Raw genomic sequence first — 17,266 nt, forward strand, 5'->3', positions numbered from 1 at the left:
GAGGGTGGATCACATGAGGTCAGGAGTTCAAGACCAGCCTGGCCAACATGGTGAAACCCCATATCTACTAAAAATACAAAATTAGTCAGGTGTGGTGGCACATGCCTTGTGGTCCTAGCTACTCTGGAGGCCGAGACAGGAGAATCACTGGAACCTGGGAGGCGGAGGCTGCAGTGAGCCAAGATGGCACCACTGCACTCCAGCCTGAGCAAGACAGAGCGAGATACATCTCAAAAAAAAAAAAAAAGATGAAATAAATCTGTAGTCCCAAGTAGGAAGCTGAGGCAGGAAGATCGCTTGAAACCAGGAGTTCGAGGCTGCAGTGAGCTATGATCACACCTGTGAATAGCCATTGCACTCCAGCCTGGGCAACAGCAAGATCTCTAAAAGCAAAAGAAAAGAATGGTTACAAATAAATGTATCCTGCAGGGTGGTCCTGAGGAACACTGATGGTGTTGGAGAACATCTGATTCAGGGTGTGGTGTACATTGGGCTTTCAGCTGATGGGCTACGTAACTGGGTATGAGACTGCAAAGCCAGACGGAGCTGGCATATGGTGTTTTTTTTTTTTTTTTTTTGAGATAGACTTTCGCTCTTATTGCCCAGGCTGGAGTGCAATGGCGCGATCTCGGCTTACTGCAACCTCTGCCTCCTGGGTTAAAGCGATTCTCCTGCCTCAGCCTCCTGAGTAGCTGCGATTACAGGCATGTGCCACCACACTCGGCTAATTTTGTATTTTTAGTAGAGACGGGGTTTCTCCATGTTGGTCAGGCTGGTCTCGAACTCCTGACCTCAAGGTGATCTGCCTGCCTCAGCCTCCCAAAGTTGTAGGATTACAGGCGTGAGCCACCAGGCCCGGCTGAGCCGGCATACCTTATATGAAGCTGTGGCAGGGACACGTGGGCTGGGTGCTGACACAAGTGTCCAGAGCTGTCCTTCTGCTCAGCCAGGGAGGCCGGAGGAACTGATCTGGGAGGCAAAGGGTGCAACTCGATTGATCCAAATATATACGTCCACTCACTGACACTTAGGGGAGGGGTTCCAAGCAGAGGGCAGGAGGGCAGCACCAGCGAGGATTCCTCAAGTATTGTCATCCCAGGCCTGCAGAGAGGAGAATGGAAGGGTTTTAGGCAGGGGAGATACAAAGTCATCGCAATCTGTATTCTAGGAGCATCCCCTACTCTGTGGAGATGGGGTAAGGGGAGCAGGATAGGGATTGAGAAGCCGTTGTGGCTGGGGAGAAGAAAACGAGGTATAGGCCGTGGGAGGAGTGGGGAGGAAGGGTCTGAGGTGCTACCCATCTCTGGCTGGGTCCCTGTCACTGGGTGGCAGGGAGCAGGGTCTTGGGTATGGTCTGGAACCAGAGGACGTGTACTTGTGGTCATAAGGCTGGGGGAAAAGATTCCAGGGCCCTGGAGAAAGTCAGTGCTTGAGGTGTGGACAGGAAATTTCGGAGGAGGGCTCAGGCGCCCATGAGGTCAGGAGGCTCTAGACAGAGAGCCCCAGAGCCACCAGAGGAAAAGGAACTCGAGAGAAAGATGGAGGAGCAAACAGAGGGAGGGGAAGGGGGCAGGAGGTGCAGCTCCCCCAAGAGGGGGGGCAGGAGGTGCAGCTCCCCCAAGAGGGGTGGCAGCCCTCTTGGGAAGATGAGGACAGAGCCCCAGGGAGGCCTGGGGTTGGCAAAGGGAGCCTGCAGTTTCTTTGTGGGTGCGGGGGCCTCAAGGGCTACGAGTCTGAGCTGTGCGTGTGTTTGGACAAGTCCCCAGAGTGTGTGTCTTCCTGGGGTTCCTAGACTGCGAGTGGCAGTGGCCCGGCGGCGGAGGCCGTTTGGATCCCTGTGTGAGCTGTAGGGGGCGCCCTGGGCGTCGGGCCCAGGTCAAGTGCGAGATAGGAACGGGGTGCGGGGGCCGATGAGAGCTCCCCGCGGGAATGTCCGCTGTGGACGCCCTCGGAGGCCCCATCTAACTCCAGGGCGGCGAGCGTGGCCGGGCCCAGTTCACGGGCTGCTCGAGCCCTGACGAGGCAGCTGGGGGCTGTCTGGCGTCCACGCTCACGTTCTGGGCCGGCGGACCCCGTACCGGCCAGGCCGTGGCGGCCACGGGGGCCCGGAAGCGCCGCCGCCAGCTGGCCCCGCACGGAACTGTGTCCCGACGCGGCGCGCGCTGTCGCGATCCGGCGGCGGGTGACGTGGCGGGGCGGGGCCTGAGCTGCCGCGGCGGCGGCGGCGCGACCGAGCATCCTGGCGGCGCCGGGCCACTGGGAGGTAACGGGCTGGGCCATGGGCGGGCGCGCCGGGAGCGGGGCCGGGGCTGGGCCGCGTTCTGTGGGAGCCGAACCCTGTGGGTCTTCGCTGCCGCCGTCGGGAGCGGGATGCGGCCCAGAAACAGCGCGGGGCTGGCCGATCGGGGCCGCGCGAGAGGCGCTGCGGGTGAGGGGGGGCGCCACGAGGAGAGAGGGACCTCGAGCGTGAGGGCCGAGTGTGGGAGAAACGCTGTATGGGTGCGAGCCCCGGAGGCTGATGGTGACCGCGAGGGAGCCAGTCTTGGGGTGTGCTGGCGACGCGGCGAGTGTGAGGGAGACCGGGGGTGTGTGTGGAGAGGGAAACCCCAGGTGCGAGGGTGACCGGGACGCTGAGTGCGCGGGCCGCGCCGCGAGCGTGAGACTGTGCGACGGTGACCCTGAGTGGGGCTGTGACTGCGCCTCCGACTGCAGGACGGAGAACCTGTGCTGTGTGGCGGCCGCGGTGGGGCAAAGAAAGACGCGGGCTCAGGACCTCAGGAGCCAGGCTTCCTGGGGCTGTCGCAAGAATGACGATTATCATTTTAAAATCAGTCCTTTTACTTTAGAGAATGCCGCAAGGTTTTGTGGCGTGCTGGAGCCTGGAGCGTTGGGCTGCTGGCGCTGGGGAACCCGCGTGCCCCTGGTGATTATGGCTCTTTTGAGCGTCCCTATAGCCTGTCATCTTGTGTGACTATCTCTCCTGAATGTGGGGAGATAGACGTGAAACATTCTGAAAATTCTTTGCTGGGCTCTAAGCAAACATGTTGTGTAATGGTCAGTATAAATAGGAATCAGGGTGTCGGCGAACACGTTTTTGAGTACCTCTTGTATGCCCTGGGCTTGGTGACACAGTTAAAAAGAATTCAGTCTCTGCCCTTGATAGGGGAAAAAGCCAGGGCAGCTCATCTCGCAGGGCGGCTGTTCAGTGCCCAGCCATCCGGGGCTTGTCTCTCAGAACTGCTCCCAGATTTCAGATCTGGGAGGAGCAGACTTGAAAGGCTGTGAGTACTTCCTTATATCAGTTCCACCTCTTTTTGGTGGCGGTGAGGCCTTTTGGGGACCTGCCCAGGCTGCCTGCATTACTCAGGTCCCATGTGTGCTGCGCAGACGGCTTTTGCTTCCCAACTTTGATCTCAGATCGTTATTCAAGTCGTTACACTGGAGTTTATTTTCCTGGCAAGTGTGTGGAAAACCACCAGCCTGATTTTCTCCTCTCTTCCTCTCCTTGTCCTCCTTCCCTATTTGGCCGTGGATGTATTTTTATTGCATATACCGGTTTTATGATCCCCATCTCCCTGGAACTTCTTAGTAGAAGAAATTTCCTGACCTTTGTGCTTCCTGCTGTAATTTCTTGGATGTATATTAGTTTCTAAAAAAGTTATGCAGGCCGGGCGCGGTGGCTCAGTCCTGTAATCCCAGCACTTTGGGAGGCCGAGGCAGGCGGATCACGGGGTCAGGAGATCGAGACCATCCTGGCTAACATGGTGAAATCCCGTCTCTACTAAAAATACAAAAATTGAGCCAGGTGTGGTGGTGGGCACCTGTAGTCCCACCTACTCGGGAGGCTGAGGCAGGAGAATGGCTTGAACCCGGGAGGCGGAGGTTGCAGTGAGCCAAGATTGCGCCATTGCACTCTAGCCTGGGCAACAGAGCGAGACTCCATCTCCAAAAAAAAAGAAAAAAAGTTATGTAAACGGTGCCCACGGGACCTGGGGCCCCAGAGCTGCCTAGACTTACATGATTTAATGTGACAAGGCCAGTTCTCTGACAGGTTTGGGCTGGCTACTTCAGTTATACCCACCCTGTGGGTGTCATGGAACCTGCTAGTAATTAGGACTGCCCCTGCCGGGCATGTAAAATTTAGATTTTACAAGGAAATATCATTCTGCTGCTTTCTTGGTTAATTAAAAATAATTACATATATATATATATTTAAATCAGCTTTCTCAGGTTAAAAGAGTTCATTTTTTGATCAGTTCCCTCCCACTCTTTGTTGCAGAGTTTATGTGGCCGAGGCAGACAAGTGGAATTAGGCCTTGCTGCAGGGGACTTCATTTCCTTCTCAGTACTGGACCCATTTATGAGGAGGTGGCTTATGAAAGTGTGATGTTCGCGTATTTCTTGACAGGTGAATATTGTTGCGCTGTCTTTTCTTTTGTTTGTGTGATTTACAAAGAGTTTTTACTTGTATACAGTGTGAATACAATACTAGTAAACAGAATGGCTTACACATAATTAACAACTCTTTAGTATTACATATTAAATAACACTGTAATTTATTATAAAAATAAATTATACATTTATTTATATTACAATTCTTTATAAAGAGTAATTGTGGTGGGTTTTTTCTTTTTTTTTGGAGACAGTGTCTCACTCTGTCACCCAGGCTGGGGTGTGGTGGCGCAATCTCTGCTCACTGCAACCTCTGCCTCCTGGATTCAAGCGATTCTCCTGCCTCAGCCTCCCAAGTAGCTGGGATTACAGGCGCCCGCCACCATGCCCAGCTAATTATTGTATTTTTAGTAGAGACGGGGCTTTACCATGTTGGCCAGGCTGGTCACGAACTCCTGAGCTCAGGCAATCTGCCCGTCTCAGCCTCCCAATTGTGGTGGATTTTTTTTTTTTTTTTTTTTTTTTTGAGAAGGAGTTTCGCTCTCATTGCCCTGGCGGAGTGCAATGGTGCGATCTTGGCTCACTGTAACCTCCACCTCCCGGGTTCAAGTGATTCTCATGCCTCAACCTCCCGAGTAACTGGGATTACAGGTGCCCACCACCATGCCCGGACAATTTTTTGTATTTTTAGCAGAGATAGGGTTTCACTATGTTGGCCAGGCTGGTCCCGAACTCCTGACCTCAGGCGATCCACCCGCCTCAGCCTCCCAAAATGCTGGGATTACAGGTGTGAGACACCGCGCCTGGCCATAACTCAGAGAGTTTTATAAGAAAAAGTCCTCTGTGTTTTCACCATAGTTAAGATTTTGATTCAACCAGAGGGGGGAATAAAAAGATTTTGATGTATTTCTCTGTGATATAGCAAAATATTTTTTGGTCTTCAGCCCGTTTCCTAGCATACAACTCCTAAAATACTTAGAAAGATCAAAGTAATGTCTTTTTGTATGCTGATGGCTGGTGGCTGGCAGCCCCTAGAAAGCTTCAGGATGGGGGCTGGTCACTGGAAAGACCAAGTCAGGATTAGAGGGTTGGGACTTTGAGCCCTACCCCCAACCTCCGGGGAGGGGAGAAAGGAGGAGGGTGAGGTTAAGTTGATCACTAATGGCCAGTGGCTTAATCACTCATGCCTATGTAATGAAGCCTCTATAAAAACCCAAGAGGCTGGGGGTTTGGGGAGCTTCCGGATAGCTGGACATGTGGAGGTTCCTGGATGGTACTTCTCCCTGGGAGGACAAGGAAAGTCTGTGACCCTTCCCCCATATGTGGCTCTGCAAACCTCTTCATCTGTATCCTTTGTAATAGCCTTTATAATATACAAGTAAAGGTAAGTAAGTGTTTCTCTGAGTTCTGTGAGCCGCTCTAGCAAATTAATTGAACTGAAAGAGGAGTCTTGGGAGCCCCAACTTGAAACAGTTCGGTCAGAAGTTCAGGAGGCTTGGATTTGTGCCAGGTATCCTGTTGGGGAGGGGCAGTCTTGTGGAACTGAGCCCTTCTGCTGTGGGATCTGATGCTGTCTCCAGGTAGATAGTGTTGGGATTGAACTGGAGGACACTCAGCTGGTGTCCCTGGGGAGAAATGATTGCTTGTTAGTGGGGAACCCTCCCCCTCCGGCATTTGGTCACAGAACTCTTCTGTGTTGATTATTGTGGTGTGAGAGTACACAGTAAAAATGGTTTTGAGTTTTTCCAAACATTCTCAATAGCATTTTTTCCTTTAGTCATTACAAAAATTTTGGTTTCAAATCCACTTTGTAAAACTTCCTTTGTAATCGAGCTTTTCCCCCCTTTCATCCCGTTTTCTGATGTAATTGAATTGTGATAAATTCATTTATTCCAAAAATTGCTTGTGGCAGTTTCGTGGTTAAATTTTCATGGGGAAATTTTGGTAGTCTGTTAAATTCCTTTATTACCTGCTGCAGGAGACTGCAGGAATTTAAAATTTTTAAAAATTTTTTTGTTGGCTGGGTGTGGTGGCTCACGCCTGTAATCCCAGCACTTTGGGAAGCCGAGGCAGGCGGATCACCTGAGGTCCCAGGAGTCCGAGACCAGCCTGACCAATATGGTGAAACCCCGTCTCTACTAAATACAAAAAATTAGCTGGGTGTGGTGGCGCATGCCTGTAATCCCAGCTACTCGGAAAGCTGAGGCAGGAGAATAGCTTGAACCCAGGAGGCGGAGGTTGCAGTGAGCCAAGATCGCGTCATTGCACTCCAGCGTGGGCAACGAGCGAAACTCCGTCTAAAAAAAAAAAGAGCAAAAATACGTATTAAAAAATATTTACCTAGGCTATTTGATATTGCCCCACAGGTTGATGTTCTGTTCTATTTTTTCACTTTCTCCATTTTGACCCTTTTGGTTTTCATCTCACTGCTAAAGTTCCACATTTGTTTCTGCATGCTGTTCAACTTTTTCAGTAGAACCTTAAATGTATCAAACACAATTATTTTAAATTCCTTGTTTGATGTTTCCATTATCTGGGTCATCTCTCAATATGGTCCTATTGATTACTTTTCCTCTTGATAGTGGGTTGTTTTTCTTGCTTTTTTTATGTTGCTTGTAACTTGTTACTGATTGCCAGATACCGTGTGTGGAACAGTAGAGACTGAGGTATATAGTATTTATTTTGGGAACTGGGTACAGCTCTTCTTTGCTAGACTGTTTGTATGGGAGTTTGAACTCCTAGTCAGGAGACAGTAGTGTTTGGGTGTTATTGTTGCTATGGTTACGTTAGGTGCACCAATGACTTCAAATTCTTCTCATGTTTCCTTGCCAGCTTACGGTTGGTTTGCAGGAGGGAGGCTTTTTCTCAGTGGTTATCCTCCATCCATACCCTCAGTTTATTAGCCAGGCATGGTAGTGCACACCTGTAGTCCCAGCTACTTGGGAGGCTGAGGCAGGAGAATCCCTCGAACCCAGGAGGTGGAGGTTACAGTGAGCCAAGATTGTACCACTGCACTGCAGCCTGCGTGACAAAGCAAGACTCTGTCTCAAAAAAAAAAAAAAGAAAGAAAAAAGGTCTCACTCGGTCATCTCACTCTGTCACCAAGGCTGGAGTGCCCGTAGTGCCATCATGGTTCACTGCAGCCTCCCAACTCCTGAACTCAAACTTACCTCTTAGCTTTCTGAGTAAATAGCTGGGGCTATAGGCGTGTGCCATCATGCCTGGCTACTTTTTAATTTTTTTTTGTAGAGATGGGGTCTTGCTATGTTGCCCAGGCTAGTCTCGAACTCTTGGCCTCAAGTTCCTCCAGCCTTAGCCTCCAGAGTAGCTGAGATTACAGGTGTAAGCCACTGCGTCCAGCCACCCTCAGCTTTAGGATTTCTCTGTGCACCTATGCCTCAGTGCACAGTCTCAGTGGTAGACTACTGTTGCTTGTTCCTGGGTGCTTGCTAACCTGGTGGTAGGGAGTAGGGATTTCTCTGTTGTCTGGTTCAGCCTCAGTCTTAAGCAGGCCCTGTTTGTTTCCCTGGGTCTTGGGAGTGGATCTTTCTGGGTGCTCCTGCCCTTTTCCCAGGAGAAAGACACCTCCGGTGGTCTTGCCCAGAATTTCCTACCCCTCCTCCAGGCATAGAGGTTTTTTTTTTCTTTTATCCTGCCCCAGCTGCCTCAGGAGTGACAGAGTTTGCTGCCCTTTCCCAGGGGTTTATGGTTTTTATTCTTTAGAGGAGAAGGGTATAGGTTGGCCTTTGTATTTTCCCTCCCATAAGCCAGCACTACCAAGAGCGGTTTTCTCAGGTTACTTGCCCAGTATTTCTTCTGAGTAACCACTGAGGTCTATGGAAAAAACCTGAGTGTCTGTGGCTCTTACTAACCCACACTTGACATTTGGTAATTTTTAAAAAAATTTACTTGAATTCTTCTGACTCACCTAAATGGTGGTCTCATCTTTCTCCCACTGCCACAGGTGAGCCAGACCTTGTATCTCTCTATCTCCCTGGAGGTGGCTGTCTTTCCATCAGTTTCAATCTAGTTGGTTGCCCTGTAACTTCAGCTTTCTGATGGCTCCAAGAAAAATTGTTGTTTGTCACTGGAGTGGGAATGTGCTATCCATCCTGAGTGGAAGCTGGAAGTTGAGGACTTTCCATTTTATATTGGATTTTTTTTTTTTTTTTTGAAACAGTCTTGCTCTGTTGCCCAGGCTGGAATGCAGTGGCATGATAATGGCTTACCGCAGCCCTGACCTCCTTGGCTCAAGAAATACTCCCACCTTGGCCTCCCAAGTAGCTGGCATGTGCCACCGTGCCTGGCTAATTTTTGTATTTTTTGTAGAGATGGGGTCTTGCTGTGTTGTCCAGGCTGGTCTCGGACTCCTGGGCTCAAGCAATCCTCTTGCCTCAGCCTCCCAAAGTGGTGGATTACAGGTGTGGACCACTGTGCCTGGCCTAGTTTTTTCTTATTTCATTTTTTTATAGAGACGGAACCTCCCTATGTTGCCCAGGCTACTCCTGAACTCCTGGCTTCAGGCAATCCTCTGGCCTTGGTCTCCCAAAATACTAGGATTATAGGCGTGAGTCATCATGTCTGCTCCCATTTTATTTGTGCTTTTTGTTGTTTGTTTTTTGAGACAGGGTCTCTGTCACCCAGGCGGGAGTGCAATGGTGTGATCATGGCTCACTGCAGCCTCAACCTTCTTGGGCTCAGGTGATCCTCCCACTTCAGCCTCCTGAGTAACTAAGACTACAGGTGTGTGCCATGCCACCATGCCCAGCTAACTTTTGTAGTTTTTTGGTGTAGACAGGGTTTTGCCATTGCCCAGGCTGGTCTCCTGGGCTCAAGTGATCCACCTGCTTTGGCCTCCCAAAGTGCTGGGATCACAGGTGTGCACCACTGTGCCCTGCCAAGGTGAAGTTTAGATATGGAGAGAAGGTAAGGGATGGCCCTGGGGTTGTATGTGTAGCCAAGCCAGCCTGGGACTTAGTCATGTGCTCTTGGGAGCTGCTAGGGTTACATCACAATTTTGCTCTTGGGTGTTTAGCAAAGAGGTAGGAACTTTAACTACTTTTGCCAAGGACAGGCTCTTGATAACAATTGCATTTTTCTTTTCTTTTTTTTTTTGAGACAGAGTCTTGCTCTGTCACCAGACTGGAGTGCAGTGGCGCTATCTTGGCTCACTGCAACCTCCGCCTCCCAGGTTCAGGTGATTCTCCTGCCTCAGCCTCCTGAGTAGCTGGGACTACAAGTGCATGCCACCACGCCCAGCTAAATTTTTTTGTATTTTTATTAGAGACCGGGTTTCACCATGTTGGCCAGGATGGTCTCAATCTCTTGGCCTTATGATCTGCCTGCCTCAGCCTCCCAAAGTGCTGGGATTACAGGCGTGAGCCACTGCGCCCAGCATGCATTTTGTTACTGAATGAAGATAAAGAAGCCTGGCATGGTGGCTCACACCTGTAATTTCAGCACTTCAGGAGGCCAAGGTAGGAGGATCAGTTGAGGCCAGGAGTTCAAGACCAGCCTGGGCAATGTAGTGAAACACTGTCTCTACAGACAAATTAAAAAAAAAATACATAAATAAATAGCTGGGCATGGTGGCAAGCACCTTTAGTCCTAGCTACTCATGAGGCCGAGATAGAGGACTGCTTGAGCCTAGGAGTTGGAGGCTGCAGTGAGCTATGATTGCATGATTGCACTCCAGCCTGGGTGACAAAGTGAGACCTTGTCTCTTGAATAAAAAAGAGAGAGAGAGACTGAAAGAGAAAAAAGTCTTATCTGCCTTCAGTTTTGTGTGATTCTGCTACTCTCCTTGGCTGAAGGAGTCCTTAACCTTCCAGCAGGAACTTTGTCTTTCATTCAGGTGCTGCGACTGAAATTCTAGGCATGAGGTCTTGTGGGGCTGTGACTGTGCCCCACCTCTCTAAATAAGGCCACTGGGTAGTTTCGCCAGTGTATTTGACAAACCTGATAAAGCCATATCAGCGACACCAGTGCCAGGTTTTATGAATACAAAGGGAATACCTAGTAAGCTCAATCCCTCCTCCCAGCTAGAGTCTGATGGAATAGGGCGAGCTGTATTGGTCACTGGGGTCAGATTTCTCTGCTTGTCTCCATGTTGACTTGGGTAGAAAAGGCATCCTAGGTCTCTTTGCACCTGACTCTTATGTGAGACTATAGGCTCCCCAGCTGTGTACTGGTTTTGTTCTAATGGATGCCTGGGCTCACCTGACAGGCACATGAAAACAAATATGTTTCCAGGTGCCTGCACAGGAAACCTGCATGGCTTGGTGCCAGAGTGAGAGCAAAAGTGGTGCTGCCTTAAAGCTCAGCCTCACTGAAGCAGAGGTAGGCTGCCTTCACTCCTGGGACTGGGGGAAGGCTTCACTAGGGCCTAGGAGGAGCTTTTTTACTTGGTCTCAGGTCCAGACTTGAAGGGGTTTGGGACAGGGAAGGCAGGAGTTTTGGGTGGGGACTGTGGAGATCAGCATTTCCCCTAAGAACTACTCACTCTTGACTCTCTGTGGTTTCCTTGCTCTGAGCTCCATGAGGCCAGATTCGGGCACATCACATACACATTTGTTGAACAGATAAGAGACTTCTGGAAAGATGATGTGCTTGCCGATCCTGTTCCTATTGCTGATTCTTGGAGGTTATCTCTGTGACCTTAAAGGACTAACTGTTACGTGGGTGGGAATCAAATGGCCCACCAGATTTCTTCTGAAGATGAGATGGGATCAAAGGATCAGAAGTGTGACTGGCACAGGAGTTGAGGGAGGGAGAAGATCACGCTGGGTGCAGGGTCAGGAAGGTGCTTATTTTCCTTTGATAGATTCTGGGTCCTTCATAGGTAGGTTAATGTGGAATCCAACATGAGGGGCATGCTGGGGAAGAAAGCAAATACACCAGTGGCAAATTAGCCCTGGGTTGGGATGCCCCTGGATGTCCTTTCTCTACCCTGTCTTATTACGTAACCCTTCTCTTTCGGGTACTTTGGAAAAAGAAAGATGTGGAATGGGCAAGCAGCAACATGGGAGAGTGAGGTAGGTGTTGCAGACACAGTGATACCCAGGCATGTATTTTTTTTTTTTTTTTGAGACCAAGTCTTGCTCTGTTGCCAGGCAGTGGCGTGATCTTGGCTCACTGCAACCTCCGACTCCCTGGTTCAAGCGATTCTCCTGCCTCAGCCTCCTGAGTGGGGATTACAGGTATGTGTCACCACGCCCAGCTAATTTTTGTAAGTTTAGTAGAGACGGGGTTTCACCATTTTGGCTAGGATGGTCTCGATCTCCTGACCTTGTGGTCCGCCCGCCTCGGCCTCTCAACATGCTGGGATTACAGGTGGGAGCCACTGCGCCCAGCCAGGTGTGTATTTTAATGAGGGACTTCCCCTTGGTTTAGTCACTACAATGACTAAACCTGTCTTAGCATCTTCCTCGCCCTTCCCATCACCTCCTCATGTTCTGTACTGGCCTGAGAGTAGCTGCAGATGTCTCCATGTCTTGCTGGACATTGCAGAAGTCCCAGTTTACATTGGGTAGAGGTGACTGGGCAGGATTACCTGGGTATGGACAGTGAGAAGCCTTTTAGGCTGGTGATGACTGTGTACCAGGTGCAGGGACTCTGGTCTTCTCTGCAGGGCAGGTTTGTGGGTTTTAAGCTGGTGAGAACAGAGCAGAAATCTATAACTCAAGGAGAATCCAATCGTTGGACAAATTTAATGCCAGCCTATTCTGGGCTGCAGGACAGGTATTTGTCATCAGAAGTCATTATCACATCATGCGTGAGCTCTCATGGTGTCTTTCTTGGGAGCAGTGAAGGTCTACCCACTTCTATTTCCCTGTGTTCTATGGTGGGAACTGAGACAGGCCTATTGTAGTTAGGGCTGTGTGCATGGCATGCTGTCCCTAAATAGGAAGTGGGCAGGGAAATCTGGTCTAAATAGAGCCTCACCAGCTCCTGCCCTAGACTGACATACTTGTATTCTTTGCCAGGCCACAGCAAACACAGGTGTGCAGGAACCGTTTGTCATGGAAGCCAGGGAGCCTGGGAGGCCCACACCCACCTACCATCTTGTCCCTAACACCAGCCAGTCCCAGGTGGAAGAAGATGTCAGCTCGCCACCTCAAAGGTCCTCCGAAACTATGCAGCTGAAGAAGGAGATCTCCCTGCTGAATGGGGTCAGCCTGGTGGTGGGCAACATGATCGGCTCAGGGATCTTTGTCTCACCCAAGGGTGTGCTGGTACACACTGCCTCCTATGGGATGTCACTGATTGTGTGGGCCATTGGTGGGCTCTTCTCTGTTGTGGGTGCCCTTTGTTATGCAGAGCTGGGGACCACCATCACCAAGTCGGGAGCCAGCTACGCTTATATTCTAGAGGCCTTTGGGGGCTTCATTGCCTTCATCCGCCTGTGGGTCTCACTGCTAGTTGTTGAGCCCACCGGTCAGGCCATCATCGCCATCACCTTTGCCAACTACATCATCCAGCCGTCCTTCCCCAGCTGTGATCCCCCATACCTGGCCTGCCGTCTCCTGGCTGCTGCTTGCATATGTAAGTGGGGGCTGAGATTGGGAGGATGTTGGGGGGTGGGGGGTACTATAATAACGGTACTTTAGGCCGGGCGCGGTGGCTCATGCCTATAATCCCAGCACTTTGGGAGGCTGAGGCGGGCGGATCACCTGAGGTTGGGAGTTCGAGACCAGCCTGACCAACATGGAGAAACCCCGTCTCTACTGAAAAAACAAATATAGCTGGGCGTGGTGGTGCATGCCTGTAATCCCAGCTACTCGGGAGGCTGAGGCAGGAGAATTGCTTGAACCCAGGAGGCGGAGGTTGTGGGGAGCGGAGATCATGCCATTGTACTCCAGCCTGGGCAACAAGAGCAAAACTCTGTCTCCAAAAAAAAAAAAAAAAAAAAAGATACTTTATATTTGAATAGCATATTTTGCATTTTGGAGGGGAGGGAGGCTTCTTACCTTTTGAGGAAGTAATTTTACCAGTCATTTGGTCCTGAGAGATAAGTAAGCATAAAGGATGGGGATGGGAGAAGTTTGAATCTGTTCGTGGCTTTTGGTGCCTCATATTCCTCCTCTCTTGGCTGCCCTTGTTCTGTTTTGTGGTCTGTGTGACAGGTTGGGGCATGTCTTTTATTTGTCTTGACAGCTGTTTCGATTGAAGTCAACATTGCTAGTTGTAAGCCCAGAAAAAAACCCCACCAGTGTTGAGGCCTTTATTCTGTTGCTAAAGGAAAAAAAAAAGAGTTATTTTATTTCCCAGATTTTTATCTTAAACCAGTTAAAGTCATCAGTGAGAAAGTAGGCTTCACTAGACTGTGGGAGTCCTACGGTGTTAAACTTCAGGCCCACAGGACCCTTTCCTGTCTGCCATTGCTGCTCTTTGCGGCTTGCTCTGAGCAGCAGGTACAACAAAACACCTTTTCTTCCTAGTGTATCAGACTTCTTTACACTGACTTTGTAAACAAGCTCTGCCTGCGGCCACATTTGAGTTTCTGCAGATAGAACCTGAGAGATCTCAGTTGATCCCTCTTTATTTTCCTTTTTCTCTTATGGGGTAGTAAGGAGAAAAGATTGCTGTGAATTTACCCAGCCTTGCAGAACTAGTGTTTTAAATGAGAAAGACCCAGAATTCTATGTTCCTTAGCACTGTACTGCCAGAGGTACTTAATAATATTCTGTTCTTTCCACATCTCTGCTTGCAAAAGCATTGGCAGTATATGCAGTTTATCCAGTGTTAAAAATAGCCTGAGAGTACCTTGGAGTTAGCAATAAAGGACTGTAGAATACCCATGCCTCTTGACTTTATGGAATTTGTTAAAGACAAATTAAAGGGAAAACGCTCCATATTCCTTGGGATAGTGAGGGGGAAACGGATACCCTTAGGATTAGGGAAGGCGGCTGCTCAGCTGTATGTCTGATAGGCTTTGGCTAGGGAGACTCTGGTCTGACTGAGCTTTCTAAAAAAGGGAATAATTTTCTGATTATAAAATATGTTTATTAGGCCAGGCATGGTGGCTGACGCCTGTAATCCCAGCACTTTGGGAGGCTGAGGTAGGAGGATTGCTTGAGCTCAGGAATTTGAGACCAACCTGGGCAACATGGTGAGACCCTGTCTCTACAAAAAATCAAATTAGCTGGGCATGTTGGTGTGTGCCTGTGGTCCCAGCAATTCAGGAGGCTGAGATGGGAGGATCTCTTGAGCCCGGGAAGTCGAGGCTGCAGTGAGCTATGATCACGCCACTGCACTCCAGCCTGGGTAACGGAGCAAGACCCTGTCTCCAAACAAAACAAAACAAAAAAAAAACCTCACAAAGCATGTTTATTTAGAAAATTAAATTACTCTTAAGTCATCCAAAATCTACCACCAAAAGAAGAGTACTTTTTTTTTTGAGATAGAGTCTTGCTCTGTCACCCAGGCTGGAGTACAATGGCATGATCTCAGCTCACTGCAACCTCTGCCTCCTGGGTTCAAATGATTCTCTTGCCTCAGCCTCCCGAGTAGCCAGGATTACAGGCGCCCACCACCACGCCCAGCTAATTTTTGTATTTTTAGTAGAGAGGGGGTTTCACCATGTTGGTCAAGCTGGTCGAGAAGAGTACTTTTATTTATTTATTTATTTATTTATTTATTTATTTGAGACGGAGTCTTGCTCTGTCGCCCAGGCTGGAATGCAGTGGCGCTATCTCGACTCACACCATTCTCCTGCCTCAGCCTCCCGAGTAGCCCGGACTACAGTAGGCGCCCGCCACCGTGCCCGGCTAATTTTTTGTATTTTTAGTAGAGATGGGGTTTCACCGTGTTAGCCAGGATGGTCTCGATGTCCTGACCTCGTGATCCGCCCGCCTCGGCCTCCCAAAGTGCTGGGATTACAGGTGTGAGCCACGGCGCCCGGCCTTGTATTATTTTTTAATTAAAAAAAATTTTTTTTGAGATGGAGTTTCGCTCTTGCTGCCCAGGCTAGAGTGCAATGGCATTATCTCAGCTCATCGCAACCTCGGCCTCCTGGGTTCAAGCGATTCTCCTGACTCAGCCTCCCGAATAGCTGGGATTTCAGGCATGTGCCACCACACCTGGCTAATTTTGTATTTTTAGTAGAGACAGGGTTTCTCCATGTTGGTCAGGCTGGTCTTGAACTCCTGACCTCAGGTGATCTGCCCACCCGGCCTCCCAAAGTGCTGGGATTATAGGTGTGAGCCCCCATGCCTGGCCTATTATTATTATTATTATTATTTTTCTTTTTTGAGACCGAGTCTTGCTCTGTCGCCTAGGCTGGAGTACAGTGGCTCGATCTCTGCTCACTGCAACCTCTGGCTCACTGCATCCTCCACCTCCCGGGTTCAAGAGATTCTCCTGCCTCAGCCTCCCGAGTAGCTGGGAATATAGGTGCGCACCACCATGCCCAGCTAATTTTTGTATTTTTAGTACAGACGGGGTTTCACCATGTTGGTCAGGATGGTCTTGATCTCTTGACCTCGTGATCCGCCTGCTTTGGCCTCCCAAAGTGCTGGGATTACAGGCATGAGCCACCATGCCCAGCCATAAATACCTTTTGAGGTCATCTTTTCTTGTAGGTTGTATACTGCTTTATAATTTTTTTTTTTTTTTTATTGATCATTCTTGGGTGTTTCTCGCAGAGGGGGATTTGGCAGGGTCATAGGACAATAGTGGAGGGAAGGTCAGCAGATAAACAAGTGAACAAAGGTCTCTGGTTTTCCTAGGCAGAGGACCCTGCGGCCTTTTTTTTTTTTTGCAGTGTTTGTGTCCCTGGGTACTTGAGATTAGGGAGTGGTGATGACTCTTAACGAGCATGCTGCCTTCAAGCATCTGTTTAACAAAGCACATCTTGCACTGCCCTTAATCCATTTAACCCTGAGTGGACACAGCACATGTTTCAGAGAGCACCGGGTTGGGGGTAAGGTCATAGATCAACAGCATCCCAAGGCAGAAGAATTTTTCTTAGTACAGAACAAAATGGAGTCTCCTATGTCTACTTCTTTCTACACAGACATAGCAACAATCTGATTTCGCTATCTTTTCCCCACATTTCCCCCTTTTCTATTCGACAAAACCGCCATCGTCATCATGGCCCGCTCTCAATGAGCTGTTGGGTACACCTCCCAGACGGGGTGGCGGCCGGGCAGAGGGGCTCCTCACTTCCCAGAAGGGGCGGCCGGGCAGAGGCGCCCCCCACCTCCCGGACAGGGCGGCTGCCGGGCGGAGGCGCCCCCCACCTCCCTCCCGGACAGGGCGGCTGGCCGGGCAGGGGCTGCCCCCCACCTCCCTCCTGGATGGGGCGGCTGACTGCTTTATAAAATTAAAAAAAAAATTAATATTGGCTGGGCATGGTAGCTCATGGCTTTTGTAATTCCAGCACTTTGGGAGGCTGAGGAGGGAGGATCACTTGAGCACAGGAGTTTGAGACCAGCCTGGGCAACAAAGCAAGACCCCACCTCTAAAAAAAAAAAAAATTAGGCATGGTGGCAGTGGCAGTGGTGTGCATCTGTAATCCTAGCTACTCGGGAGCCTGAGGAGGGAGGATCCCTTGAGCCCAGAAATTCAAGGTTGCAGTGAGCTATGATCATGCCACTGCACTCCAGCCTAGGTGACAGAATGAGACTTTGTCTCAAAAAAAATTTCATATTTAATCTCTTTCATCAAATACTCTTAGAAAACATGGTTTGAAGATACATAAGCAATCTCCAGGCAGTATAGTATAGTGGTTAGGATTGCAGGCCTCCATGCCAGACTGGATTTAATTTTCAGCTTTATCATTGACCAACTGTTGATCTTGGGGAGTTAACTAATTGCTGCCTCGATTTTCTCTTTTATTTTTATTTTTTGAGACAGAGTCTTGCTTTGTTGC

The 17,266-nt window shown here is 49.6% G+C and overlaps 1 protein-coding gene and 1 long non-coding RNA gene across 4 annotated transcripts in view, besides 3 other annotated features; one reads left to right on the plus strand and one right to left on the minus strand.

Annotated features, from left to right (window-relative positions):
• Positions 1 to 347: 347 nt before the first annotated feature.
• On the minus strand, positions 348 to 2,144 carry LOC124903704 (uncharacterized). 2 transcript variants are annotated; one of them, XR_007065095.1, is made up of 3 exons: positions 2,079 to 2,144; positions 874 to 1,101; positions 348 to 383 (listed from the first exon to the last, which is right to left on the minus strand). It is a non-coding gene; the product is annotated as an uncharacterized LOC124903704 (long non-coding RNA). The 2 variants fall into 2 exon arrangements; XR_007065096.1 differs by having other exon boundaries at positions 2,055 to 2,144.
• Positions 2,099 to 2,378: a silencer, noted in NCBI's record as "silent region_7645". NCBI's record gives its function as "represses an Ori minimal core promoter by ATAC-STARR-seq in GM12878 lymphoblastoid cells {active_cell/tissue: GM12878}" and the evidence as "EXISTENCE:reporter gene assay evidence [ECO:0000049][PMID:35858748]".
• Positions 2,213 to 17,266, plus strand: part of SLC7A6 (solute carrier family 7 member 6) — a 37,294-nt gene continuing 22,240 nt past the window's right edge. Inside the window, exons 1-4 of one of the 2 annotated variants that reach the window (NM_001076785.3) lie at positions 2,213 to 2,263; positions 4,280 to 4,408; positions 11,505 to 11,591; positions 12,378 to 12,936. In NM_001076785.3, the coding sequence (NP_001070253.1) occupies positions 12,414 to 12,936 (523 nt within the window). In that variant the 5' untranslated portion in view covers positions 2,213 to 2,263; positions 4,280 to 4,408; positions 11,505 to 11,591; positions 12,378 to 12,413. The remainder of the gene's footprint in view (positions 2,264 to 4,279; positions 4,409 to 11,504; positions 11,592 to 12,377; positions 12,937 to 17,266) is intronic. The other variant, NM_003983.6, reaches the window with a different exon arrangement.
• Positions 2,751 to 3,950: an enhancer, noted in NCBI's record as "CDK7 strongly-dependent group 2 enhancer chr16:68298967-68300166 (GRCh37/hg19 assembly coordinates)". NCBI's record gives its function as "activates an origin of replication core promoter dependent on BRD2, BRD4, P300/CBP, MED14 and CDK7 cofactors, with strong dependence on CDK7, by STARR-seq in HCT116 cells {active_cell/tissue: HCT116}" and the evidence as "EXISTENCE:reporter gene assay evidence [ECO:0000049][PMID:35650434]".
• Positions 13,517 to 13,676: an enhancer, noted in NCBI's record as "active region_11009". NCBI's record gives its function as "activates an Ori minimal core promoter by ATAC-STARR-seq in GM12878 lymphoblastoid cells {active_cell/tissue: GM12878}" and the evidence as "EXISTENCE:reporter gene assay evidence [ECO:0000049][PMID:35858748]".

The sequence above is a fragment of the Homo sapiens genome, chromosome 16, assembly GCF_000001405.40.
Source record: "Homo sapiens chromosome 16, GRCh38.p14 Primary Assembly".
Lineage (NCBI taxonomy): Eukaryota > Metazoa > Chordata > Mammalia > Primates > Hominidae > Homo > Homo sapiens.